At 61.1% G+C, this 25,885-nt stretch overlaps 1 protein-coding gene, 1 long non-coding RNA gene and 1 other non-coding gene across 10 annotated transcripts in view, besides 8 other annotated features; 1 reads left to right on the top strand and 2 right to left on the bottom strand.

Annotated features, from left to right (window-relative positions):
* The window catches only part of ZFPM1 (zinc finger protein, FOG family member 1), an 85,263-nt gene that overhangs the window by 54,170 nt on the left and 5,208 nt on the right, over positions 1-25,885 (top strand). For 4 of the 6 annotated variants that reach the window (XM_011522914.3, NM_153813.3, XM_011522912.3 and 1 more), the window contains 3 exons: positions 8,449-8,582; positions 20,876-20,978; positions 22,094-22,300. In XM_011522914.3, coding sequence (XP_011521216.1) covers positions 8,449-8,582; positions 20,876-20,978; positions 22,094-22,300 — 444 coding nt within the window. Of the gene's footprint in view, positions 1-6,802; positions 6,891-8,448; positions 8,583-20,875; positions 20,979-22,093; positions 22,301-25,885 lie in introns of those variants that run through there. The other 2 variants (XM_011522917.3, XM_047433667.1) reach the window with 2 other exon arrangements.
* LOC107984890 (uncharacterized) lies at positions 425-6,585 on the bottom strand. Of its 3 annotated transcripts, none has more exons than XR_007065179.1 (5): positions 5,598-6,585; positions 4,867-5,138; positions 3,598-4,132; positions 2,234-2,741; positions 425-1,118 (listed from the first exon to the last, which is right to left on the bottom strand). It is a non-coding gene; the product is annotated as an uncharacterized LOC107984890 (transcript). The 3 variants fall into 3 exon arrangements; XR_001752298.2 differs by lacking the exon at positions 425-1,118 and having other exon boundaries at positions 2,541-2,741; positions 5,598-5,731; positions 6,412-6,585; XR_007065180.1 differs by lacking the exon at positions 425-1,118 and having other exon boundaries at positions 2,541-2,741; positions 4,955-5,138; positions 5,598-5,982.
* Positions 2,495-3,000: an enhancer, noted in NCBI's record as "H3K27ac-H3K4me1 hESC enhancer chr16:88574841-88575346 (GRCh37/hg19 assembly coordinates)". NCBI's record gives its function as "activates a minimal SCP1, AML or CMV promoter by ChIP-STARR-seq in naive H9 embryonic stem cells {active_cell/tissue: H9 hESC(naive)}" and the evidence as "EXISTENCE:reporter gene assay evidence [ECO:0000049][PMID:30033119]".
* Positions 4,011-4,514: an enhancer, noted in NCBI's record as "H3K4me1 hESC enhancer chr16:88576357-88576860 (GRCh37/hg19 assembly coordinates)". NCBI's record gives its function as "activates a minimal SCP1, AML or CMV promoter by ChIP-STARR-seq in naive H9 embryonic stem cells {active_cell/tissue: H9 hESC(naive)}" and the evidence as "EXISTENCE:reporter gene assay evidence [ECO:0000049][PMID:30033119]".
* Positions 7,021-25,115, bottom strand: ZFPM1-AS1 (ZFPM1 antisense RNA 1). Its single transcript, NR_148997.1, has 4 exons — positions 24,994-25,115; positions 24,504-24,670; positions 16,083-16,182; positions 7,021-7,365 (listed from the first exon to the last, which is right to left on the bottom strand). It is a non-coding gene; the product is annotated as a ZFPM1 antisense RNA 1 (long non-coding RNA).
* Positions 19,522-20,109: an enhancer, noted in NCBI's record as "H3K27ac-H3K4me1 hESC enhancer chr16:88591868-88592455 (GRCh37/hg19 assembly coordinates)". NCBI's record gives its function as "activates a minimal SCP1, AML or CMV promoter by ChIP-STARR-seq in primed H9 embryonic stem cells {active_cell/tissue: H9 hESC(primed)}" and the evidence as "EXISTENCE:reporter gene assay evidence [ECO:0000049][PMID:30033119]".
* Positions 20,110-20,696: an enhancer, noted in NCBI's record as "H3K27ac-H3K4me1 hESC enhancer chr16:88592456-88593042 (GRCh37/hg19 assembly coordinates)". NCBI's record gives its function as "activates a minimal SCP1, AML or CMV promoter by ChIP-STARR-seq in primed H9 embryonic stem cells {active_cell/tissue: H9 hESC(primed)}" and the evidence as "EXISTENCE:reporter gene assay evidence [ECO:0000049][PMID:30033119]".
* Positions 20,924-21,664: an enhancer, noted in NCBI's record as "H3K27ac-H3K4me1 hESC enhancer chr16:88593270-88594010 (GRCh37/hg19 assembly coordinates)". NCBI's record gives its function as "activates a minimal SCP1, AML or CMV promoter by ChIP-STARR-seq in naive H9 embryonic stem cells {active_cell/tissue: H9 hESC(naive)}" and the evidence as "EXISTENCE:reporter gene assay evidence [ECO:0000049][PMID:30033119]".
* Positions 20,924-21,698: a biological region, named in NCBI's record as "H3K27ac-H3K4me1 hESC enhancer GRCh37_chr16:88593270-88594010".
* Positions 21,569-21,698: a silencer, noted in NCBI's record as "silent region_7855". NCBI's record gives its function as "represses an Ori minimal core promoter by ATAC-STARR-seq in GM12878 lymphoblastoid cells {active_cell/tissue: GM12878}" and the evidence as "EXISTENCE:reporter gene assay evidence [ECO:0000049][PMID:35858748]".
* Positions 21,665-22,404: an enhancer, noted in NCBI's record as "H3K27ac-H3K4me1 hESC enhancer chr16:88594011-88594750 (GRCh37/hg19 assembly coordinates)". NCBI's record gives its function as "activates a minimal SCP1, AML or CMV promoter by ChIP-STARR-seq in naive H9 embryonic stem cells {active_cell/tissue: H9 hESC(naive)}" and the evidence as "EXISTENCE:reporter gene assay evidence [ECO:0000049][PMID:30033119]".

Below are 25,885 nucleotides of genomic sequence, written 5' to 3' on the forward strand. Positions count from 1 at the left end.
CCCACAGCCATCCACAGTGAGTGCAGGGTCTGAGGGTCTCAGGAAGGCAGGTTCTGTGGTTCGAAGCCCTTTGTTAACCTCTGGCCTGGGGTGAGAAGAAAACCCTCATCCAGGAGGCCTGGGGCTCTAGGCCAACCCCACCCTGGGCTCTCCACTGGCCTCCAGGGTGCTCTGAGGTTTGTGGCCCAGCAGAGGCCAGGCATCATGGCCAGGAGGCCAACAGGGGCCATGCCAGGCAGAAGGCAGAGGAGACCAGGGCAGGAGGTGGGGAGACCAGGGGCAGGGGCAGGGAGACCAGGGTAGGGTTGGGGGGCACCAGGGTCAGGGGGCAGGGAGACCAGGGCAGGGGTGGGGGGGCACCAGGGCAGGGGGACCAGGGTAGAGGAGCTGGAACCCTCCCAGGAGGTGATGGGCCTGGGGTCTTCTAGGGCAGGGCGCTGGGGGGCCTTAGGCAGGCCCCTCCTTTGTTTCCCCTCAGTGAAATAGACTCAGGTCTTGTGCTGGGGCTTAACTGCAATGCTGGGCACACAATAACACAGAATAATCCAGAAAGGACTGAATGGGGGCGGGCGGGCAGGGCAGGTTGTGCACTGAGTGTGCGTCCGCAGAGTGGTGGCCATCACTGGGTGTGCACGGGGCACAGCTCTGAGGAGCAGAGCCATTTCCCCAGTGTGGCCAGAGGGCCCAGACGTATGTGACATCTGGTTTTTCAACAGCAAAGCTGATCCATTTCTCTACCCATCCTGGGTGTGCAGCTCCCAGGCTCCTCTGCGCCTCTCCCAGACCCAGCCCTCCTGCAAGGACCTGGACCCTCTGAGGGGCGCTGGGGGGACCCAGGAGGAGGCAGGGTGGGAGCCCTCATCAGGCCCCCAGAAGCCAGGCTAATCTGCAGAGCCCTCGAGTGGCTTTGTCTCCAAGCTCTGGTGCATCCATGGCTCCCGTCACCCGCGTCTCATCCGCCTGCGGCTCCGTCTCCCTTCTCGCTAGCGCATGTCACGTTGTTCCTTCCATCTCGGCTGTCCCGAGTGCCACAGCCGGGGCCACTGCTGCGAGTGAGGGCTACGGTCCTGCTGGCCTTTCCAGGTGGCCTTCTGCCTGCTCCGCTCGGCGACTCCTATCTGTGAACGGGGAAGGGGCTTCACGGAGGGCCCACTACCCAAGGGGTGGGATTCACTGCAAGTGGGGGTATGGCCTGGGCTGCAGACATGGGTTTGCGATCAGAGGACCTGGGCTCGACTCTCCCATGCCACTTGCTGGCTGTGTAACCTCCGACGTGGCCCCCAGCTTCTCAGGCCTTGCTTTTCACAGACGAGAGCAGGAGAAACGGTCCCCATCATCCCCCGAGCTCTTGGCCTCACCCCCTCAGCACCATGTCCCCGCCTCCAGAGCTCAGAGATGGGAAGCTGAGGTCTGCCCAGAGGTGCCATGGCCATCAGTGACCCAGCCAGGGCTGGAGTCAAGCCTGGGTCCCTTTATGTTTCTTGACTTGGCATTCAGGTGTGGCTTGATCCAGGGAACACACTGACTGACTAGTGCCCCATGGCTCTGGTCTCCTGGTCCTAGACCTGGGCTGCCTGGGTGTGTCAGCCTTCTCCATGCCCTGGCAGGTTGGCTGGACGGGGTATGACTCAGAGGACGGTGCTCAGCCACTGTCCATAGCCTGGGTTGGGTCTTGTGGATTCTACAGGCCTGAGAACACCAGCCCCCATGGGAGATGCCATCCAGCTCCGGCAGATGTGGGCCTCGGGGAGAAGTGGCAGCCCTGAGGGGCCCGCATGGCTGTGGGAAAGGCCCCCTGCAGAGAGCCAGCTGCCCAGTGTACCCTGACCTCACCCATGCACCCAGGCATTCGGATGCTCACAAGGGACCCTTGTGAGGCCCCTCTGCAGATGGGCCCAGCCCCACAGCCCTCCTGGGAGGATACCCTTCCCCAGGCCATCCTGGGCTCCACTCGGGGGCCTCCAGCAGCCACTCCCTCCTCTGGGCCTTGGTTGCCCCATCTGTAAACAGGAACCTAAAAAGGGGATCACAGGAAGGGGCCCAGTGGGTCGAGGATGTGTGAAGAAGTTGCTGGTGGGCCGGGCACGGTGGCTCACACCTGTAATCCCAGCACTTGGGGAGGCTGAGGTGGGCAGATCATTTGAGGTCAGGAGTTCAAGACACGCCTGGCCAACATGGCGAAACCCCTTCTTTACTAAAAATACAAAAATTAACCGGGTGCGGTGGCGCGCACCTGTACTCCCAGCTACTCAGGAGGCTGAGATGGGAGAATCGCTTGAACCCGGGAGGCGGAGGCTGCAGTGAGCCGAGATTGCACCGCTGCACTCCAGGCTGGGTGACAGTGCAAGATTCTGTCTCAAAAAAAAAGAAAGAAAAGAAGTTGTTGGACCCCCAGCCTCGTCCCCCATGCATTTCTCACCAGGCTTGGGTTTGTTCCCAGCCAGATCTTGGGAGGATCACATGTGAAGGAGGCCATGACATCCACACAGGACCACCCTTTCTACTGCCCAAGAGGCTTCCGTGGCTGCAGAGCAGGCCACAGAGTCCAACCACAGGCCTTGGGCTCCACGTGGGTTCCCCTGGTCTCTCCTGGGCACAGGCCCATCCCGACGCTCACTCTGAACCTCTCCCAGATGTGGCCTTCGGTGCCTGCCGTGGGCCCTGGTTGGTGAATCCTGGGAACCAGGGCTCTGCCTCCCGTAGGTGGCTGCAGCACACAGAGCCAGGGCCTGCTACTGAGGCTGCAGAGGGGACACAGAGTTTGCGCGGAGGTCACGGGGTGGGGGAGGAGCTACTTAGCCTCCCCCCTCCCCTTCTGTCGCCTCTCTCTGTCCTGGGGCCTCAGCTGCCACCCAGATTACGGGCTTTTCCCCCCAGGAGGGTCTGACTTTGGAGCCGGTGACCTTGGGCAGGTCACCTCACCCCCTGTTAAATGGGCTCCAGGTCCTCAGGGGCCCCGCGGGGTTTGCCTGCGTGGGAACCAAGCACAGGTGATCAGCAAGCGAATCCGCACGCGGCGCGTCATCGTGGACAGAGGGGCCGGCTTGCCCCGCCCCACGCAGCTGACCCCTGGCCACCCCGGTCTGCCTCCCGTGTGACCCTGGGGAGCCGCTCGCCCCTCTGGCCTCGGTTTCTGTGTCTGTACAGGATGTGTTGGAAGCTGGTGTTCTCGGGGCCCACGTGGTCTGTGCACCAGCCTCACCGCCAGTCCGCTGACCCACAGAGGCTTCCAGAACCCCGTCAGCCTGGGGTTTTTCCTTCCCTCCCCCTCACTCCTTTTTCTTTCCTTTTTTGTGACTTTTATCAAAAGCAAACAGCATGATCCCTGAGACAGGGCCGCTCCCAACAAAGCTGGACCCAGCTGGCCTATGGGAGCCACAGGGCGGGGCCGGGCGGAGCGATGGGGCCGATTAGATAAGTGGGTGCTGGGGTGACCCCACGGTGGGCACCAACCACAGAGCCCACCATCTGGGGTGGCTGGACTTTGCACTCCCGAGACTACCAGCCATTAGGCACACAGGGAGGCTGGCCCCTGGAAGGCGGGAAGGCCAGCTGTGTGCAGGAGGGGCCCCGGTTCCCGGACGTCCGCAGACTCACAGGGTGACGCCTTCACCTGCCTCCTCAAGTCAGAGCTGTGAGCCAGCCTGCCAGGGCCAGGGCTCAGGTGGAGAAACAGGCCTGGGGAGGCGGGCGGCTGAGCAGAGTGGGTTCAGGAGCAGGTGGAGAAACAGGCCCAGGGAGGCGGGCGACTGAGCAGAGTGGGTTCAGGAGGCAGAAGACCCTGGGTGTAGCCTTGGATCCTCTGTCAGAGAGCAGCTTCAGGGTCTGGTCTCGGGAGCAACTGCCCTCCCTGCTATGTGACCCCCAGCTGCTTGCTGGAGTCTCTGGGCCTGTGGGATGGGAGCAGACGCTCCTCTACCGGCTTGCTGCCACACGCGCGTCACGGAGGGGGCCACGGTTCCTGCGCTGGGCACTGTTGGCCACGTTGTTGAGGGAGGCGACAGGGGCCTCTGGGGCCTCGGGGGCAGAGCCAGAGCCCAGGGGTGAAGGCCAAGTCCCAGGGGGCAGCCCTGGGCTGGGCCCCAGGCCTTAGGATGCCCACCTGGTGCAGCTTCTCAGCCCATCTGGGCAGCTAGGAGAGAGAGAATAGTGCTGGCTGCACCGGCAGACACACCCCCTAACCTCACGGCACGAGCCCGAGGGAACGTCATGCTGGCACCCCCTTCTCCATATGGGTAAACTGAGGCTCAGAGCACACACAACCGCTGGCAAGCTGGGCAGAGGCAGGACTTGGCCCCAGGCCTGTGGATTCCAAACCCCAGCTCTCCCTCCCCAGGCACCCCCAAAAGGCCCTGGACCCTGGCCAGACCCACCGGGCTCCCCTCAGCCAGGTTCCCCACTCTGTGGGGTTGGCTCAGCCAGCAGCGCCAAGCTCTGCCTGGTCCTCGGTCCCCCACTGCTTCCATCCCCATGGGGTGTAATCGGAGGGCTTTAAGACCCATGTGGACCTTTCAATCATATAAATATGCAATGGCTGGAACTTCTCATTTGGTTCCTCGCAGATGCCTGGGGGTGAAATTGAATCCCAGCACAGCGTGTTTGTTCTGGAAATGGCGTGTGCAGTCTTGTTTGCCTGAATAAATTAGTCCTTGTCCCAGTGCTGTGCCTGTAGTGGCGGCCCCATTCCCCTGGCTGGGCTCACCCATGCGGCCTAGGTCCCGCCCCCTCCTCAGGAGACCCGTCTAGAGATGGGGAAACTGAGGTCAGAGCAGGAAGAGTCAGCCACGGGGCCACCAGCCGCTGCCTCCCACCTCAGCTCAGAAGAGCCCTGGGGCTCTGGTTCAAACCCACCCACCCACTGCCTACCCTTGGGCCAGTTGCTTAACCTCTCGGATCTGTCTCCCCCATGTACGTTGGGAGGAGTAACTTGAGCACAGCTGGAAAGAATCCTCACAAGTCCTGCTGGGCCTGGCTGAGGCTCGGTCCGTGGGGCAGGTACTCAGTTGGGTCCGTGGGGCGGGCACTCATGTTGGGTTCGTGGGTTTTTGGGAGCCACAGCTAGCGTCCCCATTCTTCAGCTGCAGAGACAACCTGGCCGGAGCTGGCATCTCTGCTGGGCTCACCCAGTTGTTCTGGAGCTGGGGAAGAGGAGGCAGAAAGACCAGTCACAGGAGGCTGGCAGGGAAGGACACCACCCCCTGGAAGCCCACCCTGACAGGCCCGCCCTCAGAGCTGTCGGTGCCGGTGGGGGTGTCTGGCCACTGCCTGTGTTTTCTGGGAGCCCCAAGGCCAAGGCTGTGGCATGCCTGTTGCTGCCCCAGGTGCCCCACAGGGTTTTGTGGCGGGACAAGCACTGAGCTCACGGTGGGTTCTGGTCCCACCTCCAGCCACAGCTCCCAGTGTGGCTTGGGCACTCCTCAGCCTCGCCGGGCCCCAGGCTTCCTGGTGGTGGGGTTGGGTGCTGACCATCTCCATGGGTGCCACTGTCTGGATCCCCCAGCCATTTCAGAGGCCATTTAAAAAAACAACTGCCTGTGTCTTCCTGCCCATTCCCACCCAGCTCAGCATCCCCCGGCCCTAGGCTCCAGGCCCCTCACCCTCACTCACGGACACTTCCATCCATTCTCAGCCTTGAGCCAAGTCCTCAGGAGGCACCCCATCTGCCAGGAGTAGGAGGCCTCACCCACCCCCACTTTCCAATGCGATTTTACTTCCGGTTGGGAGAGGGTCTCTGCAGGAACAGGGCTGGAAATAGGTTATGTGAGCAGAAGAGCGTTGAGAACCACCACGGCCTCTATGTTCAGTTGCACAGGTCGAATGCTGCACAAGGGCACCTGGGGTGAGCTGGGGCTAAGATCAGCCATGCTCCCCTTACCAATCCAGGCACCTGCATCCACCCCCAAGAGGCACCTTTCCCGTGCACAGCCCCTTGGAGACGCATCCTGAACCCTGGTCCAGGGAGATGGGTTGTCATGGTGACCATTGCCCTGGTCCCCAGCCCCACACCCCTCCGATCCCTGGACTCCTTGGAGGCCCCTCGCCCAGCCCCCGGCCATCCCTGAGTGGTGGGTTCTGCCCCTGGGCGAGTGGAACGGCCACCTTTATCAGAGCCAGCCCTCTCTGGCAGTGTGTGATACCCATACCCAGAAGGGGCGGCCGCCACGGGAAATGCCAGCCACGCTCTTATCTGGGAGGCTTGGCCGGCTGGCCCTGGAGCTCCGATTAGGGAGCAGGACCGTTTGCCTGTGGGTGCCTCGTGGGCCGGGTAGGGTGGGCACCAGTTCTGCCCTCCCACTTCCCCATGAGGGCAGGGGACAAGTGAGAGCCCAGGGCTGCCAGGACAGGGACCTCAGCACCCTTGAGGTGTGATACGCGGCAGGTGTGGACGCTGCAGGCCCAAGCTCCTCCTACCCCTGGAAAGGTGGGCACCAGCCCCAGGTGCACAGCAGTGTCTCAGGAACAGCAGGGACTCTGGTCAGGAATGTTCTGGAACCCGAGGGGAAGGCATGCCACCCCTTCCCTCTCTGAAAGGAAGTCGCAGCCACTCCTGGGTCCAGACGTGCCCTCAGGGGCTTCTCGGACAAGGGGTCCTCTTGGCCCCCCACCCCGCCCTGCCCCCCAGGCCCCAGCAGGAGAGCAGAGGCCTGCATGCAGGGCCCACCCCACGAAGCTCCAAGCGTTTCTGACAGTCCGGATGGGATTCCACATGCTTCCCTGTGGCCCCAGCCCTGACTCGGGGGTGACACACAGGCTCACTTGATGGTGGCACTGAGGACCCGCCGGAGGCCAGACAGAGGGACAGATGAGCACACACCAGGAGCTCCCATCGGGGGAGTCTCTTCTCTCCCGTGCCCACCCCCGAGGCCTGGCCAGGTGGGCCAGAGTCGCAGGTACAGCCAGGACATGAGGGGCCGGGCCCCCCACCACTGTCACACGCAGGGGTGCCCCTGGAGCCAGGCCTCTGGGTTTGGACCCCGGTGCCCCACTGCTAGCCTGCTAGCCGCAGAGCCTCCAGGGGCCTCGATGTCCTTGTCTGTGCAGGGGGATGACCGTCACAGGAATGGGTGTTCCCGGTCCCCCATAGGGCCGCGGGGTGCTAGCTGGCCCGTGTGACTGTGATGCTGGGACCCCGCTCACACTGGTCACCCTCTTGGTGCCAAGCCCTGCAGGGGCAGGGGAGGGGGCGGCCTAGTGGTCAGAGCCCTGGGCTGGGACCCAGGCATTCTGGGTGGGCTGGCAGCCCTGAAGCTGAGACGGCAGAACCGCTCCTGCTGCCCCCAGTCCGCTCTTCCCTTCCTGGGGGCTGATAAAGGGGCGCGGGCCTCCTCGGCCTCTCGGTCCTGGTTCGCTGCCATCTTATCTGCCCTGGGGAAGACAAAGACCCAGTTAAAACGTTTTAGCAGGGCCTCCCGGCGTATTTACATGTTATCTCTGCCATTAGGCAAGCAGCTATCTGATCATCAGGCCCATTAAGACCACAGCCTGCCCAATCGGGGCTCCAGGAAGTGGGGCCGCCACAGCACTGCGGCCAGGGGACCAGGCCAGGCCACGTGAGGCCTCTGTGGGCCCAGGCAGCCCTGGCCACAGGAGAGGTAGAGGTGGCCCGGCCTTCCTGGGCAGAGGGTGTGTGGCCTGGGAGGAGCCACGTCCCTGTTGTCCACCAAGGAGGCTGAGGCTCCAGGAGGCAGGTGAGGGCCAGGTGTGGCCAGGTGTGTGTGTGTCCTCGGCTGGGTGCTAAGTTAGCGTGACCTGGGGCTTCAGGCAGCAGAGTGTGTCCTTGCACAGCCCGGAGGCTCCAAGTCCCAAGTCCAAGTGTCGGCAGCACCAGGCTCCTTCCAGAGGCTCCCTCCTGCCACTCTCAGCTTCTGGGGGCTTCAGGCGACCCTCATGGCTGCCTCCCATCTCCACCTCCATCTTCCCATGGTCTTTTCTGTCTCCTTTTCTGTGTCTCTTAGAAAGATACTTGTCATTGGTTTTAGGGCCCACCTGATAATCCCATTGATCTCAAGAGCCTTAATCTAATTGCATTTGCAAAGACCCTTTTTCCAAATATCAGCACGTTCATAGACTGCAGGCTGATGTATCTTTTGGGGGCCCCCAGTCAGCCATGACATAAACTCAGGCCAGCGTTGCACTGTGCGGCCGGGCTCTGTGGGCCTGTCCCACCCGCAGCCCTTGCTCTGGAGAACGACCATCGCAGGGCTCACAGCTCGCTCAAACCCAGCCACAGGCATCCTCCTGGCTGCGTCCCTACACCCCACAGTGCCCTAGAGATCTTGCTGCAGGGCTGCCCAGGCCCCTGGGACCCAGCACCTGCCCGGCCCCTGCCATTCACCCCAGGCCCCCAGGACTGCCACCCTCCACTGCCCCTTGGGCCAACCCTAGCGGGAGGTGGGCTGGACAGGCCCCAGACCGGGCACGCCTCATGCCTGCGATGTCTCTCTGCAGACGAGCTGGAGCCGGTGGTGCAGGATGGGCAGAGGCGCATACGGGCCCGACTCAGCCTCGCCACGGGCCTGTCCTGGGGCCCGTTCCATGGGAGTGTCCAGACCAGAGCCTCATCCCCCAGGCAGGCGGAGCCGGTAAGAAGCCCCCATCCCCGCCCCTGCCCGCCCACCCCAATGCAGGGCAACATGGACCCAGGGGACAGGCCCAGCTTAGATGCCAGCTCCGGGGCTCTGGCCACTTGAAGATGTGGGCCTGAGATATTGGGACCTGGAGGATAGGGAGGGATTCGCTGCCTTGGGGCCCAGGGAGGGCTTCCTGTAGGAGGTGATATGGGGCCTTTGGTGCCCCAGGGAGGACTTCCTGGAGGAGGGGTTCTTTAAGCAGGACCTTGACAGATGACTGGGCATTGAAGCAGAGGAGAAGAGCATTCAAGGGGAGGGAGGAACAAACCAATGGCCCAGGCCTTGGGGTACTGGGACGGTGGGGATGCTACAGCAGAGAGCGAGAGGGTAGTTCTGTGTCTGTCCCCGCGGACTCTTCTGACGACAGGCACGGCCGTCAGGCCCATGGTCTCCATGGCCTCGGCACGTGTGCTCATCTCCTTGGTGACAGCCCCTGCCTGGCAGAGCCTTCCAAGGCAGCCCCTTGCTGCTAGACACAAAGGCCTGTGTCGTTTGTCTTGGATGTACTTCTGGGGCTACCTCCAACTTATGACAAGTCAGTTCGGTTTCCTCCGAAGAGGGTATAATGGTTTCTTTTAAACCACGTCTCAGCTAAGAAAGGGCACTGGTATATAGAAACCTGTAAGTACGTGTGGGGCTGCATCATGGGCGGCATAGGGTCTGGGGCCTCCTGGGCCATTCACACAGCCTTTTGCAGCTGAGCGGGCAGACGCATGTCCCAGGCCGCTCAGGGAGTCACTGGGAAGCTGGCCCAGGACAGAGGGCGTCCCCCTTTGCCAGGCCCTGGAGTCTCCTGCCTTTATGCCATTTCCTTGCTGTGCATCCCCAGGCAGGCCCCTGCCCACTGTGAGCCTCCACTTCCTCAGCCTTTGGGACCTTGGGTGAGACACAGGGGCGCCTAAAGCTTCCTTTTACGTCTGAGCCTGCAGACCCTGAGAGGGGGCGTGGGCAGGGCTGCAAGCTTATCTGTGGTGCAGGGAAGCCCAGGGCACCCCTGTCTGCCAGGGCAGCTGGGCGGGTCACGTGAGATGGTCAGGAGTGGTGCTTGACACAGGGCATGGCTCAGTGGGCACTGCGGCCAGCAGCCCTGCAGGAGGGGTGGCTGCCTGGCCCCGTGGCCTGGAGCAGGGAGGTGGAAGAACGGCAGCGGAAGCTCAGTGGTGGTCAGTTTTCTCCATGGAAGGAGCCACATTTCAGCTCCACCACAGGAAGGAAGCCATGGTGTTTAGAGCTGGTTCTGTGGGGCGTGAGCTCCCCATCACTGTACGCGTGTGAGCGGCAGTTGATCCTTCTGGGGTGCTGGGATGTGGGGATCTTGGCAGGCATTTATGGTTGCCAGGAGGAATGAGTGGATGGGCTAGGAGCTCCGTGGCTCTCATCTCTGAACTCTCAAAGTGTCAAGAAAACCCATAGGTAGAGACCAAGGGCAAAGACCGTAGGGGCTGAGATTGGAGGGCTCTGTGAGTTCCAGACACACCACACGCCCATCCTCACTTCCTCCTCCCCGCACCCTACGAGGAGGGTCCTGCCACTCCATTTTACAGATGAGAAAACTGAGGCTCCAAGATGTTAAGTCAATTGCCCAAATACCCAGGATCAAACAGCAGAGGGAGAAATAGAACCCACATCTGCCTATCCCCGGAGACCCTCGCAAGCTCCTTAATGGTAGGGCTGAGGGGCTGGCACCGGCCCAGGAGTCATCCCCACGGGCTGCCCTTTGCCCTAGCTGCAGTCACCCCTCCCTGTCCGCCTGCCTCCGCATTTAGTCCTGCTCTGGCCTAGGGCACAGGCCATCCTGGGGATACGGGCACGGGGTTAGAAACGCTCCCAAGTGGGGAGATAACGTCTGGGGGCACAAGGGGAGCCAAGGCCAGAGGAGCCGCTGGGGCTCTGTGGGGAGCCCGGGGAGGAAGGAGCCCCCGCTCCACTCTTCCCTCCTCTGCTTTATCTCCTGCAGAATTAAATCCTTGATTAACCCTTATCTCCCCAGCGAGGCGCTATCTCCGCCTTGGCGCCGAGTGTCCAGACACACCGTACAAGATGATTGATTTCTTCAAGATATGCACGCCTTTCCGATACTTCATTTATTGTCTAAATATTTTTGCGTCTCAGCGGGCCCCTGTCGCTCTTGGCTGATAGGTCCCAGTTCTCTCCCCGACCCCTCCCTGAGGAGGACGTTGCCTCCTGCCCGGATCGCCCCAGCTGCTGCCAGTTTTTCTTCTCTCTTTGTAGAAGGAGAAGGGGGAGGGGTGCAGATGCGATGCTGTGACCCTCCCCGCTGGCCTCCACAGGCCTGGGGCTTGCTCACAGGCCGGGATGAACAGGGACAGGGTGGCTTCCCCCTCGGTTCCCCACCTCTGGACATGGGGGGCGGGCACCCACAGAGGAAAATGAGTGCACAAGTCCCCAGCCGAGTCAGGAGCGTGGACTCTGGCACCGACTTGCCGTGTGACCTGGGGCAGGTCGCTTCCCTGATGCAGCAACAGCTCCCACCCCTGCCACGCCAGGGGTTGGAGGAAAGGGGCCTGAGGGGCCCAGCCAGCTTCAGAATTTATAGTCAGATACAGAAGAAACACTCGTGGTGGATGGGTAGGTGGACGGATGGATGGGTAGATGGATGGATGGATGGATGGATGGATGGATGGATGGATGGATGGATGGGTGGGTGGGTGGGTGGATGGATGGATGGATGGATGGATGTGTGGTTGGAGGGCTGGGTGGATGAGTGGGTGGATGGACAGATGGATGAGTGGGTCGGTGGGTGGGTAGGTGGGTGGATGGATGGGTGGGTGGATAATGGGTGGATGATGGGTGGATGGGTGGATGCATGGGTAGATGGATGGGTGGATGGTTGTGTGAGTAGATGGGTAGATGGACAGATGTGTAGGTAAATGGATGGATGGCTGGGTGGATGGATGGATGGATGGATGGATGGATGGATGGATGGATGGTTGGATAGGTGGGTGGATGGATGAGTGGGTGAGTGGGTGAAGGAGGGGTGGATAGACTAATGGATGGATAAATGAGTGGGTGAATGGATGGACAGGTGGATGGATAGGTGGGTAGATGGATGGTGGATAAGTGGATGGATGGGAGGATAACCAGGTGGATGGATGGATAGATGTATGGGTGGATGGATGAGTGGGTGGGTGGATAGATGGATGGATGAATGAATGGGTGGGTGGCTGAAAGGGTGGGTGGGTAGATGGATGGATGAATGAATGGGTGGGTGGCTGAAAGGGTGGGTGGGTAGATGGATGGATGGATGGATGAGTGGGTGAGTGGGTAAAGGAGGGGTGGATAGATGGATGAGTGGATAGATGAATGGATGGATAGGTGGATGGATAAATGAGTGGGTGAGGCCAGGCGCAGTGGCTCATGCCTGTAATCCCAGCACTTTGGGAGGCCGAGGTGGGCGGATCATGAAGTCAGGAGATCGAGACCATCCTGGCTAACATGGTGAAACCCCGTCTCTATTAAAAAAAAATTAGCCGGGCATGGTGGCGGGCGCCTGTAGCCCCAGCTACTCGGGAGGCTGAGGCAGGAGAATGGTGTGAACCCGGGAGGCGGAGCTTGCGGTAAGCCAAGGTGGCACCACTGCACTCCAGCCTAGGCGACAGAGCGAGACTCCGTCTCAAAAAAAAAAAAAATGAGTGGGTGAATGCGTAGATAGGTGGATGGGTGGGTGAGTAGATGGATGGTGGATAAGTGGATGGATGGGAGGATAACCAGGTGGATGGATGGATAGATGTATGGGTGGATGGATGAGTGGGTGGGTGGATAGATGGATGGATGAATGAATGGGTAGGTGGCTGACAGGGTGGGTAGGTGCGTGGATGGATGGATGGATGATGGGTGGATGGGTGGATGCATGGATAGATGGATGGTGGGTGGATGGGTGGGTAGATGGGTAGATGGACAGATGTGTAGGTAGATGGATTGACAGCTGGGTGGATGGATAGATGGATGAGTGGATGGATGGATGGATGGAAGGATGGATAGTGGGTAGATGGACGGATGGTTGGGTAGGTAGCTGGTGGATAAGTGGATGGATGGGAGGATAACCAGGTGGATGGATGGATAGATATATGGGTGGATGGATGAGTGGGTGGGTGGATGGATGGGTGGATTGATGGACGGATGGATGGATGGATGGATGGCTGAGAGGGTGGATGGATGGATGGATGGATGGATGGATGGATGGATGATGGGTGGATGGGTGGATGCATGGGTGGGTGGATGGGAGGGTAGATGGGTAGATGGACAGATGTGTAGGTAGATGGATTGACGGTTGGGTGGATGGATAGATGGATGAGTGGAGGGATGGATGGATGGAAGGATGGATAGTGGGTAGATGGATGGATGGTTGGGTAGCTAGCTGGTGGATAAGTGGATGGATGGGAGGATAACCAGGTGGATGGATGGATAGACGTATGGGTGGATGGATGAGTGGGTGGGTGGATGGATGGGTGGATGGATAGATGGATGGATGGATGGATGGATGGATGGATGGATGGATGGCTGAGAGTGTGGGTGGATGGGTGGATGGATGGATGGATGGGTGGATGGATGGATGGATGGATGATGGGTGGATGCATGGGTGGGTGGATGGGTGGGTGGATGGGAGGGTAAATGGGTAGATGGACAGATGTGTAGGTAGATGGATTGATGGCTGGGTGGATGGATAGATGGATGAGTGGAGGGATGGATGGATGGATGGATGGATGGGTGGGTGAGTGGGTGAAGGAGTGGATAGATGGATGAGTGGATAGATGAATGGATGAGTGGATGGATGAATGGATGGATAGATGGATAGGTGGATGGATAAGTGAGTGGGTGAATGGGTGGATAGATGGATGGATGGATGGATAGATGCATGGTGGATGGATAACCAGGTGGATGGATGGATAGACATATGGGTGGATGGATGAGTGGGTGGGTAGATAGATGAATGGATGAATGAGTGGGTGGGTGGCTGAAAGGATGGATGGATGGATGGATGGATGAATGGGAGGGTGGGTGGATGGATGGATGGATGGGAGAGTGGGTGGATGCATGATTAGGTGGGTGAGTGGATGATGGATAGGTGGATGGATGGATGGGTGGATGGATGGGAGGGTGGGTGGGTGGATGGACAGATGGATGGGAGGGTGGGTGGATGATGGATAGGTGGATGAATAGATGGACAGATGGATGGTGGGTGGATGGATGGATAGGAGGGTGGGTGGGTGGATGATGGACAGGTGGATGAATGGATGGACAGATAGATGGTGGGTAGATGGATGTGTGGATGGGTGGGTAGATGGGTAGATGGAGAGATGTGTAGGTAGATGGATTGACGGCTGGGTAGATGGATAGATGGATGAGTGGATGGATGGATGAATGGATGGATGGATGGATGGATAGTGGGTAGGTGGATGGATGGGTGGGTAGATAGCTGGTGGATAAGTGGATGGATGGGAGGATAACCAGGTGGATGTATGCATGAATACATGTATGGGTGGATGGATGAGTGGGTGGGTGGATAGATGGATGGATGAATGAATGGGTGGGTGGCTGAGAAGGTGGATGGATGGATGACGGGTGAATGGGTGGATGCATGGGTAGATGGGTGGGTGGATGGGTGGGTAGATGGGTAGATGGACAGATGAGTAGGTAGATGGATTGACGGCTGGGTGGATGGATAGATGGATGAGTGGATGGATGGATGGATAGATAGGTAGGTGGATGGATGCGTGGGTGAGTGGGTGAAGGAGGGGTGGATAGATGGATGAGTGGATAGATGAATAGATGGGTGGATGGATGAGTGGATGGATAGATGGATAGGTGGATGGATAAATGAGTGGGTGAATGGGTGGATAGATGGATGGATAGGTGGGTAGATGGATGGTGGATGGATGGACAGATGTATGGGTGGATGGATGAGTGGGTGGGTAGGTGGATAGATGAATGGATGAATGAATGGGTGGGTGGCTGAAAGGATGGATGGATGGATGGATGGATGGATGGATGGATGGATGGGAGGGTGAGTGGGTGGATGGATGATTAGGTGGGTGGGTGGATGGTGGATAGATGGATGGGTGGATGGATGGGAGGGTGGGTGGATGGGTGGATGGATGGATTATTAGGTGGATGGGTGGGTGGATGGAGGGATGGGTGGGTAGATGGATGGATGGATGGGAGGGTGGGTGGATGGATGGATGATTGGGTGGATGGATGGATGAATAGATGGATGGGTGGGTGGATGGATGGATGGATGGATGGGAGGGAGGGAGGGAGTGTGGGTGGGTGGATGGATGGACGGATGGATGGGAGGGAGGGAGGGAGTGTGGGTGGATGGATGGATGGATGATTCGGTGGGTGGGTGGATGATTAGGTGGGTGGGTGGATGATGGACAGGTGGGTGGATGGATGGATGGATGGGAGGGTGGGTGGGTGGATGGATGATTATGTAGGTGGGTAGATGATGGACAGGTGGATGGATGGATGGGAGGGTGGGTGGGTGGATGGATGATTAGGTGGGTGGGTGGATGATGGACAGGTGGATGGATGCATGGATGGATGGATGGATGAATATATGGCCTGAGGCCAACCTCAGTGTTCCCTCCCCCATGCCGTTCCCTCCTCTGTGCTGTTTCCCACTGCCACTCCATGCTGTTTCCCCCGCCTCCATGCTGTTCCCTCCTCCGTGCTGTGAAAACTAAAGGGAGAGTGGCCTGACTCAGCTCCCCAAGCCCAGCCTTCCCCTCCTATGAGATCAGGTTCTGCCATGGTGATGACCCCTGACGCCAGGCTCTGGGGCTCCCTGCATGGTTTCAGAGGACTGCTCAGACCCTGTGGTGCCTCCAGGGGTCCCAGCCCCATCCCCAGGTGAGAAAGCCTCAGGCCATCGTGGGTCAGGGACCCCCCGCTAAGGTATCCTGAGCACCAACACCATGTTCCCTCCCCCGTGCTGTTCCCCCAACCCGTGCTGTTCCCTCCCTCATGCTGTTCCCTCTCCCCTGTGCTGTTCCCCCAACCCATGCTGTTCCTTCCCTCATGCTGTTCCCCCAACCCGTGCTATTCCCTCCCCCGTGCTGTTCCCTCCCCTGTGCTGTTCCCCCAACCCGTGCTGTTCCCTCCCTCATGCTGTTCCCTCTCCCCTGTGCTGTTCCCCCTCCCCTGTGCTGTTCCCACACCCTGTGCTGTTCCCTCCCCTGTGCTGTTCCCACACCCTGTGCTGTTCCCTCCCCTGTGCTGTTCCCTCCCCTGTGCTGTTCCCTCCCCTATGCTGTTCCCTCTCCATGCTGTTCCCTCCTCTCTGTTTCCTCCCCCGTGCTGTTCCTTGGCCCCCTCGTATCCACACCCTCCCCTCCTCACCCTCCAGGTCTCGGCCAACATCCTGGCACAGCCACCCCCACTCCCCGTCTCAGCCTGTCCCGTGTCTCTGTCGCTGCCCCTCCAGGTGCCTACCTGCTATTTCTGGGCGGCTCCACACTCCAGGACTCACGGGAGATGCAGTTCTGTTCACTGTGTTCCCCACACCTGGCAACAGCTGGTGCACAAGGCCTGCCTGCCGGATAAGGGAGTGAGTGAGTGTGTGACCCAGTGGATGAAGTGGCAGCAGCAAGGCGGCAGGGGTCTCACGGACCTGGCTTGTAGTCGTGCAGGCCTCAGGCCCTCACCTGGGAAGTGTACTCCTTGCATGGTCGAGGGAGACAGAGGCACTGAGGGACCAGCTGGTGCCTCTGTTAAGGTGATGGGGAGGTGGAGGACTTCTCAGGGTGGGCTGGAGGAAAGACGGGCTGGGGCCTCAGCAGCCTCAGCCTCAGCCTCAGCTCCCACCCTCCCGTGAACCTGCTGCTGGCCCACTACCCCGCAGTGTCCTGGGGATGACCAAGCAGCCCCACGGGGCTTCTGCAGGACCGGCCGTTTGGCTCCATGGGCCGGGCCACCCCAGCAGCCCTGCAAGCTGCTTCAGAGCTTCACAGCGAGGTTTGGGAACGGCCTCAGATAAAGTTGTCACAGCGGATGCTGCACAGATAGGGTTTCCGATGGCTATCGGTGCCACCGCAGAATCAAGACACTGACCTCTTTGTTGGGGGAAACAAGGAACATTCTCAGGTCCGCCCGGGGAATTTAAAGTGGCCACTGCTGGTGGGGCCGGCCAGGGCCCAGAGGAGGGACAGGGCAACCCCAAGGGGCGGCAAACAGGGTGGGCTCTAGCGTCCTCCGTGGACCCTGGACACACCTGCCTGACCAGGCTGGGTGCCGAGCCTGTGGCACCCTGGGAGGGAAGATGGCCGCAGCACCCACATCTCTGAGAGTCTTGGCAGAAGGGCCTGGTTTGGAAGTTAAAAATAGGCCCCCTCCCAAGGCCAGGCGCGGTGGTTCACGCCTGTAATCCCAGCACTTTGGGAGGCCAAGGCGGGCAGATCACCTGAGGTCAGCAGTTCAAGACCAGTCTGCCCAACATAGTGAAACCCCGTCCCTACTTAAACTACAAAAATTAGCTGGGTGTGGTGGTGCTTGCCTGTAATCCCAGCTACTCGGGAGGCTGAGGCAGGAGAATTGCTTGAACCCCGGAGGTGGAGGTTGCAGTGAGCCGAGATCATGCCATCGCACTCCAGGCTGGGGGACAAGAGTGAGACTTCATCTCAAAAAAAAAAAAAAAATAGGCCCCCTTCCCCCTTGCTCCCCAGTGCCCACAGGCAGAGCAGGGTCAGGAAGGGCCTGCAGCACCAGAGAAAGGGCTTCTGTTCCAGGCTGATCAGAGGTGGGGAAACAAGAAGAGACAGAAAAAAATCAACAGGCAGACCCGTGCCCGGCCAGCCCCTCCGCAAGGGAAGCAGAAGCTGAAATTGGCTTCCTGCCCCAGCGTCTCCTGGCCGCGGCCCCAGCAGTGGCTCCCAGGATGGGCGGGTGGCCCCGGGCTGGCTTCAGGGGTCCGGCCACTTGGCACCGGGCAAGACCCTGGTTCAGGGCTGGCCGTGTCCATGCCACCTCCAGGCTGGGGACCCTGGTGGCCCCAGGCGAGGCTGTGCTCACCTGTCCCCTGAGAGGTGTCAGGGTGGCCCCTGCATCCTCAGCAGCCAGGGCAGACTGGCAGGGAGGCCCTCACCCCTTCCCAGCCTGTGGTCGCAGAAGTAGGAGCGGCAGGCCCCTCTGAGAGTGTTTGGCAGTGGGGGCCGTGGCAGGGTGGCCGGAGCTGCTTATCTTGCACCCCTAGGTCTCCTACCTGTTCCCTCCCGGGTCGGGGGCGGGTGCCGGATGGGAGCCTCACCCTCCTTCCCCCTGCCCCTCCCCACCCGCACAGCCAGGCCAGGCGCCCCGTCGCGCCCCACATACGCGGGGTGCACTCGGCGGGGCCGGGCGGGAACATGGCGCCTGCCCTCCACTCGGGACCGCCACAGAAAAATCGGGGGTGCGTGCAGCGTCAGCACAGTTGCGGCGCGTGTTTTTATCATGCTGGGAACACGCTGCTCCTGGGAGTGATAAGCATTAAACCGGCCGGCAGGCTGTCAGTCTCAGTTTGAGGGTTTAGAAATATTGGGACGAATAATTAGATTTCATATCGTTACCGCAGCACCCATCGGAGGATCAAGCAGATTAATTTTTTTCACCCTCCTCTGCTCATTAATATTCATTAGAGGCTCAGGAAGGCCAGGGTGGGGAGGGCCAGGCCCCAGCAGCCTCGCCGAGCGCTGCCCGCCTGGCTCGGGAGCAGCCGGGACACAGTAGCCGCCGGTCACCCACCTTTGTGCCAGGAATGTGCCTGCCCATTGCCCCTGGGGTTTACCCCCCAGCCTGCCCCAGCAGAAGCCCCCATCGGAGCCGGCAGAGCCCCACAGCTGGCGTGCAGTTCCTGAGCCCTGCTCTGCGGCCCTGGGAATCACGGGGGTGTCCTTTAAAAGGGGGGCACCCACCCGATGCCAGCCTGCACAAAGCACCTTTCTCGGGGCAGCCACTCACCACAGTGGACACTCAGCATGTGCTGCCCCGGACATGCCCTGTGGACGGCACCCCATGCCCACTTTGTCCTGCCAGGTCAACCCAAAAGCAACAGCCAGGGCTGGAGCTAATATGCATCCTGTGCTGGGAACCTGCCAGGCAGGCAAAAAGCTTCACACAGATCATGGCCTCCCAACATACCGGGAGGAAACTGAGTCAAAGGAGATAGGACTGACCCCCCTGAGACTGCCCCAAAGGCTAATGGTGGGCTTCGGGTGGGTCCAGAGTGAGCAGGGGCTCGGCCGCCCCTCTGTCCCCCCAACAGCCATGTGGGGAGAGGGCAGAGCCCCGTCTGCAGAGGAGAACCTGAGCCAGGGGTTGGGGTGGCTGCTGGGGACGGCTTCACACTGGGACTGCAGGGTTGCACCCACCCCAGCCAGGGCACCCACCCCACTGGCCAGCTTAGCTCTGCTCACCCGTTCTGTGGCTGAGCCGTGTGGTAGCAGGCAGGTGACGTGGAAGCCACCTGCTCTGCTGGCCAGCCCGCCTGAACCTTGCCTGAGTAGTCACTGAACGTCCCAGCCCAAAGGCTGTATCTTGCTAGATTCCTGAGTGCCCTGCGGATGGGCCAAGAGGCAGGGGTGGCCCAGAGGGGTCCCTGCATACGGGTCTGGTCGTGCCCTGCCCAAGGTCGCAGCAGGGAGGCCGAGCCTGGCTGGGACCCCACTGCCCACCTCTGCGGCCCACAGGGTCCCACGCGTGCTGGCAAAGTCCAGGAAAGCTCATGGGCTGGCACCTAGTGGGGAGGTACCCCAGACCCACAGGGGACATCCCTGCACTGTCACCAGCCCGACCCCTTGTACCATGGCAGGGTTGGGCTGACTGCCATCCTCACCACAGGGCTGCACAAACCTGTCCCGGGCCAGCGGCAGCATTTGTAGGTGACACTGGCTTTTCAGGCAAAGGTCATGGTGCAGGAAGTTTCTGATTAAAAGGCATTCATTTGTATAGAACAAAAAGTGTGTTTACAGGAAGTGCTGGAGCACGCGTGTATGCTGTGCCTCCAGATTGGACACCCAGGTGGCTAAGCTTGGGGACCACCAGTGCAGTGAGCAGCACAGGGCTGAGGGTCAGGGCACTGAGGCTGAGTCAGCCTTGCAGGAGGGACCGAGGCCTGAGGGGCAGCGGCGGTCACCCCTTCCTCCGTCACCATTTTCTCCCCTTGATGTCTGACCAGTGTTGGGCACCACAGAGCGAGGCCATGGACTGCCCGCCCCACCTCGCCCTGTCCCAGCCCCCGACTGCACTGGGATGGGGCCCCTCGCATTTCCTCTGCCATTCAGCTGGGGGCCGGGGTGCAATGGATGCAGGAAACGAGGCGGCCTCCACGGGCTCGGCCCAGAGTGTTTTCCTTCCAGACTTAGCCTGAGCCACCGCCGACAGCATGGCATGGCCCGAGGCACTGGCATGAGCTCTGTCCCTCCCCTTCCCAGGCCTCAGTTTCCTCACCCATGAGATGGAGAGGAGGGTACTGCCTGCTTTCCAGGGTGACAGTGAGGCCAGGGGGGCCAGGGCCGATCCAACACAGTGCTGGTGTCTCAGGCCCACAGGAAGGGGCCTGACCAGCCTCAGGGTGGGGACAGACCTGCTGAGTCCACCAGGTGCTCCCCAGCGTCCGCCGTGTGCCGGCCCCGGGAGCGAGCGGGAACGCAGGTGGCCCTGCCACGCCCTGTGGCAGGGAGGGGAGCCATGCTGTCAGGAGGACACTGAGGCCCGAGGGTTGCTAGGGAAGTGCCGTATCTTCTGGGCTAATCTCGGCCCCAGCCCACAGAGGTCATTCTGGAGGCATCTAGGGCCTGTGTGGAAGGAGCCTCTACCAGGTCCAGCCCCTGTGGGAACAGCGGTTTCACACCCAGCACTCTGGGGGCAAGGGTGGGCGAGCAGTGGGGAGAACACAGATACGCAGACCCGGGTGTGAGTTCAGGCTCTGCTGCTCCCTGGCTGTGTGACCTGGAGCATGTTGCTCGACCTCTTTGGGCCTCAGTCTCCACAAGAACCCTGCGCCCAACCCTGGAAGGTACTACTCCCTGCCAAGCCTCCCAGCCCCAGCACGGTGTTAGCCCCACCGGTCAACTATGGCACAGATGGCCCATGCCACACCTCTGCCAGCTCTTGGGCCAATGACTGTCCACAGCTTGGCCTACCAGCCAAGCCGGGAGGCAGATCCGTGTCACAGATGCCCCACATACTCACGGGAACCCCCAGGCAGGCTGCTGACGGACCCCTCCCCACGTGTTCCTACCCTCCCCCCCCAGAGCCCAGCCCTGACCCTGCTGCTGGTGGACGAGGCCTGCTGGCTGAGGACGCTGCCCCAGGCCCTGACTGAGGCCGAGGCCAACACAGAGATCCACAGGAAGGGTCAGTATGACGCGGCACCTCCGTCCCAAGCCTTCCGGAAGGTGGGGGTCACTTGGCTCCCCCTGGGCTGAGCCCTTAAAGGGAAACCAGCCTGCTAGGGCAGGGGATGGGGCACAGGGAGCTGCTGGCCCCGGGCGCTGCAGCATGAGGCAGACACTCTACTGGGACCAGTCAGCCCAGACCATGAGTCCCTGTATGAGGGTCCCGACTGGCAGGCTGAGCCAGGACAGGTGTCCGTGGCGGGGGGGTGGGGGAGGATTCTGCCCCTCTGGGGGACACCGTGATCCCCGTATCTCCTCCCTGCCTTGGCTGCACCTCTGGGAACCCACCAAGGGCAGCAGCAGGGACCCCGACACCAGACTGGCTGGCAGGTGCCACTGGACCATCCTCCATGTCGTCAGGCTGGCTCCAGGAACGGTCAAGGTGGCCGTCCAGGAAGTCGAGGGGCCTTGCCGTGCTGCTGCTACTGAGGGTGGCACGTCTGGGTGGCCTGCACCTCCGAGCACCCGGGGATGAAGCGGGAGGCCCTCTGGGCTTAGGCAGGTCCACTGGCCAGTGGAGTCCCTGGCCCCAGTGCAGGGTGGGGACAGGCTGTGGTGCGCGTGAGCGGGCCGGCTCAGGCCTGAGGGCGGCACCGCAGGGGACACACAGCCCGGGCGCCCCAGGTGAACAAGCCGGCCCCGCGCAGCCTGGGCTTTGTGGGCTGAGGCTGCCCCCTGCGGGTGGCTGCAGGAAGAGCCGCCCTTGGACGGTTTCCTGGAGAGCCGGGTCCACTCTAGGGCCCCACCTCTGGCTGCCGTCCCTGAGTGGCCACCCAGGGTCTCCCCTAGTTACTCCACCACCCGCCCTCCACGTCATCCCTTTCCTGGGAGACTTCCTCGGGGCCCTCCCACTAGGATGGGCCCAGAGCAAGGAGGCCTGGAGGCAGGCAGGCTGTGAGCACTCACAGGGGACCACCCAGCCTTGCCCCCCAGGCAGGATGGCCCTGGCAGCCAGCCAGCCATGGCTGTGAACCCGGGTGGCCGCTCTCCTGACCCCATCCTCTGCCCCTTGTTTAAGACGGGACAGGGAAGTGGGGCACAAAGTCCTAGGTTTGGACACCTGTCTCCCTCCAGATGACGCACTCTGGTGCAGGGTCACCAAGCCGGTGCCTGCGGGGGGACTCCTGAGCGTGCTCCTCACGGCCGAGCCCCACAGCACCCCCGGCCACCCTGTGAAGAAGGAGCCAGCAGAGCCCACGTGCCCGGCCCCTGCACACGACCTCCAGCTCCTGCCCCAGCAGGCCGGGATGGCCTCCATCCTTGCCACCGCAGTGATCAACAGTAAGTGCTGGGCTCTCCGCACCCAGGGCGGCTGCTCCACCAAGGAGGAGCAGGCAGGGCAGGAGAGGGTGGGAGCTGAGGGTGGGAAGCTCGGGGGCTGCAGGCTGCCGACAGAGTGAGAGGTAAGGCAGGGAAGGAGGTGACGTGGGTGGTCCCAAGTGCAGAACACATAGGGACAGGAGGGTCCCCAGAGCCCAGGGCCACCACAGGGAAAGCCCCTGCCAGCAGGCAAGCGGGCTTAGGCACAGACTCGGCTCTGCCCCGCACACCACACTAGAAGCCAGTGCTTTCCCTGGGGGCAGACGCGGGGGCGGCCCTGACTGTGGGCCAGAGCAGGACCCTCACCTCGGCCCTCCTGGCGTCTGGGGCCAGGTCACTCCACAGTGGAGGTGTCCCTGGACACCACGGGGGGTGAGCGGCAGCCCTGGCCCCGGCCCACTAGGTGCTGCCACCACCTCCACCTCCAAGTTGTGACAACCAAGACATCTGTTGGTTGGGTTTTTGTTGTTTTTTTTTCGAGACAAGGTCTCACTCTGTTACCCAGGATGGTCATAAAGTCCTAGTCTCAAGCCATCCTGCCTCAGCCTCCTAAGTAGCTGGGACTTCAGGCACACGCCACCAAAATCTCTCTACACATGGCCGTATGTCCCTGGGGACAGAGCCGCCCCTGGGGACAACTGAAGTGGACAGATGCCACTCTTGCAGTGGCTCTCTCGGAAACTCTGAGGGTGGCTGCGGGAATCATGAGTCACTCACCCCCGGCCGGGTACAGGAGCCATACCTGTGATCCCAGCACCGTGGGAGGCCGAGGCAGGAGGACCGTTTGAGCCCAGGAGTTCAAGGCCAGACTGGGCAACACAGAAGATCCCATATCTGCCAAAACTTTGAAAAATGAGCCGAGGGTGATGGTGCGCCCCGTGCACCTCTGTGGCCAAGGACAGCGCGTGGCCATCGTGGACAGGCACGAGTCACGCAGGGAACACGCAGCAAGTCTGGCTCCGGCCAGCGGCTGGGGCTTCCCAGGGGAACAGGGACGGCACCGGATGGCGTTTGGAGGGGGACGGTAAGACTCAGGTTTAGCTTTGGTGACCACAGAGTCACAAAACTGGAAGAAAAGCGACCTTTGTGAGCAAGTCGGATGTGAAGACGGCTTGAAGTAGGTGGAGGCAGCCAGTGGTTAGGGGCAAAGAGACCTGCAGGGCCAAGTGTGCAGCCACTGGGGGGATGTCAGCCCGTATGAGAGTCAGGGGAGCAGACCCCCACTCTTTGAGTGTCCTGACATCAAGACACCTGCTACATGCAAAAGAGAAGCCACAGAGTCCACTGAGGGACAAGGATGGGGCTCAGAGAGCCCTGGGGCCTGTGGACCCTGGAGTCAGGGGACAGGGGACATCTCCCAAGGTACGGAGAGTGAGCTGAGATAGGTTAGAGGGGGTCCTGGAGGGCGGCAGGTGGTCTGGCACATCCAGGCTGTGGCGAGACCAACAGCAGAGAAATGACTACTGGTCCTGACAGTGCAGAGGTCGCCATGACCCTGACCGAGGCCGCTCCAGGGAGGGTCAGAGAGGAGGCCTGCACAGGGGCCAGCTGGCCAGAGGGGGATGGGCTTGTGTGCCTGGTAGCCAGGACATAATAGCCCATGTTATGTGCTGGTGGGAATAGCTGGTGACACTGGAGAGAACGGGCCGAGCGGCCAGGTCCACACCTAAGCCCAGGTTGGGGGCAGGGGCTGGGCAAGCCACTGCCCCAGGGAGCCAGGAGGTCAGAAGAGAACACGGGCCGCAGGTGACTGAAAGGAGCCGGGAGCAAAGGGGGTCCCCATCTGCCTTCTCCTCTTCCCTGAAGAAGGCACGGAGGGGATGGGAGGCCATTGCACCCCTCCACCAGGATGGAGAGGGGGTGCCCCCGTAGTGTCTCGGGGTGCCCGGGAGACCCAACTCCAGGGGAACACCCCGCTGATAACGCCAGTAAGACAGTGGGGACAGCAGGCTGGTGAGGGTCCCGTCCTCCAGCAGGGTCCTTGCCCACACAGCCTGCGGAGACCACCTCCCAGTCCCTGAGGGGCAGCTGCGGGTGCCCCAGGCTCAGCCTCTGCCTCGGTTTCCCCCTCGCGGGTCTGACATGCCTCATCCCCAGGCAGCAGTGTCCTGGGAACGCTGCTTCGGAAGGACACCACCGTGAGCCACACATCTTGTTGACATACCTGAGTCCTGCCCTAGCACTTCTGCGGCTGCCAGGGCACGGCCGACGCTTGTCTGCTGCTCTGGAAGAGCCGCAGGAACCAATTCCAGGGTCAGATCCAGTTTCATTCTTGAGCCTCCGGCACTCTGGGCCCATCTCGCCTGTGAAGCGGGATGCAGAGGCACCTGCCTGGAGGCCCCTCCGCAGGCCACCAGATTTGGCCTGTGGTCACCAGCAGGCGGGCAGCCTTTCTAAACTGCATGGCCACGGCCCCTCTCCCCACACCCCTGCAGCAAGAGTCCCCCACAATGACCTTGGAGACGCAGAAACAAACCCACCCAGTGGCCTCCCAGGTCTGGGACCCAGCTCAAGGCCTCAGCTGAGAGAGGACAGAGCTGCCTGCAGCCCCCAAGTAAAAGGAACTTGAGAAACAGAAATCAACAGCACAGGAGGGAGATGTGAGCCAGAAAAGTCGTTAGAACAGCGAGGTGGAGGAGGAAGAGCCACCTCACCCAGGCACTGAAATTCCTCCCAAGAGGCAGAGGTGGCGAGCAGGCCGCAGAGGGGAGGGCGCGGGGGTAGGGGCCACCCCTGCGTGATAACTGCAGACTCAGGATCAACATCGGAGAAGCCGGGTGAGAAACCAGCACTAACCTGCAGAGGCAGAAACCAGATATCACATCAGTCTCTAAGTGGAACGGGCTTGAAAGCCAGATAAGGAATCCCAGGGCCCCTGGGTTCCACACGGAGGCCAAGGCCAAGCTGAACAGGTCCTTCCCTTCCCTGTCTTCAGCCAAGGGGCCATGGGCAGATGGGGCAGGGCTCTGGGGCAGAGAACATTCCTTAAACTGCTATAAAGACAAACCGAGAACACGCTAGAGAAGTCCTCCCCTGCTGGCAAAACCACCGTAAGCAGAGTGCAAGCCCCCAAAACTCTCAACAGTTATAAGCAGCCCATTTGGGGTCAGTGTGGTAAATTCGACAAATCTGACCAGCCAGGTGGTCACTGACATGGAGCCGCCCAGGTGTGTGGGCGCATGGGGGCTTCCTAACTTGTGCACTCCTGGTCTCATGCCCACATCCCTAGAACTGCAGTCAGCAGCCATCGTGTGCCTGAGTGCCCAGGGACTGTGTGCGTGGGTTTTCTTTGCAGCCTGGCACTCCCACGCACCTGCACGCACATCTGTACACACACGTTTCCTCTTCCACGGCCTCCCGGGTCCACACGGTCACCCCAGTATGTCATGGATGCTAGCCTCACCTGGCGGTGTCCACTTCTTCCTTCTGCCCCCATGAGGCCAAAGCATCTCCTTATGGGGCTCACCATTGGAAGGGGACCCATAGGGGTTCACTCAGACCCCACTCCCCACGGGTCCCAGGGCTCCTGGGATCTACGGAAGGGAG

The sequence above is a fragment of the Homo sapiens genome, chromosome 16, assembly GCF_000001405.40.
Source record: "Homo sapiens chromosome 16, GRCh38.p14 Primary Assembly".
NCBI classification, from domain to species: Eukaryota; Metazoa; Chordata; class Mammalia; order Primates; family Hominidae; genus Homo; species Homo sapiens.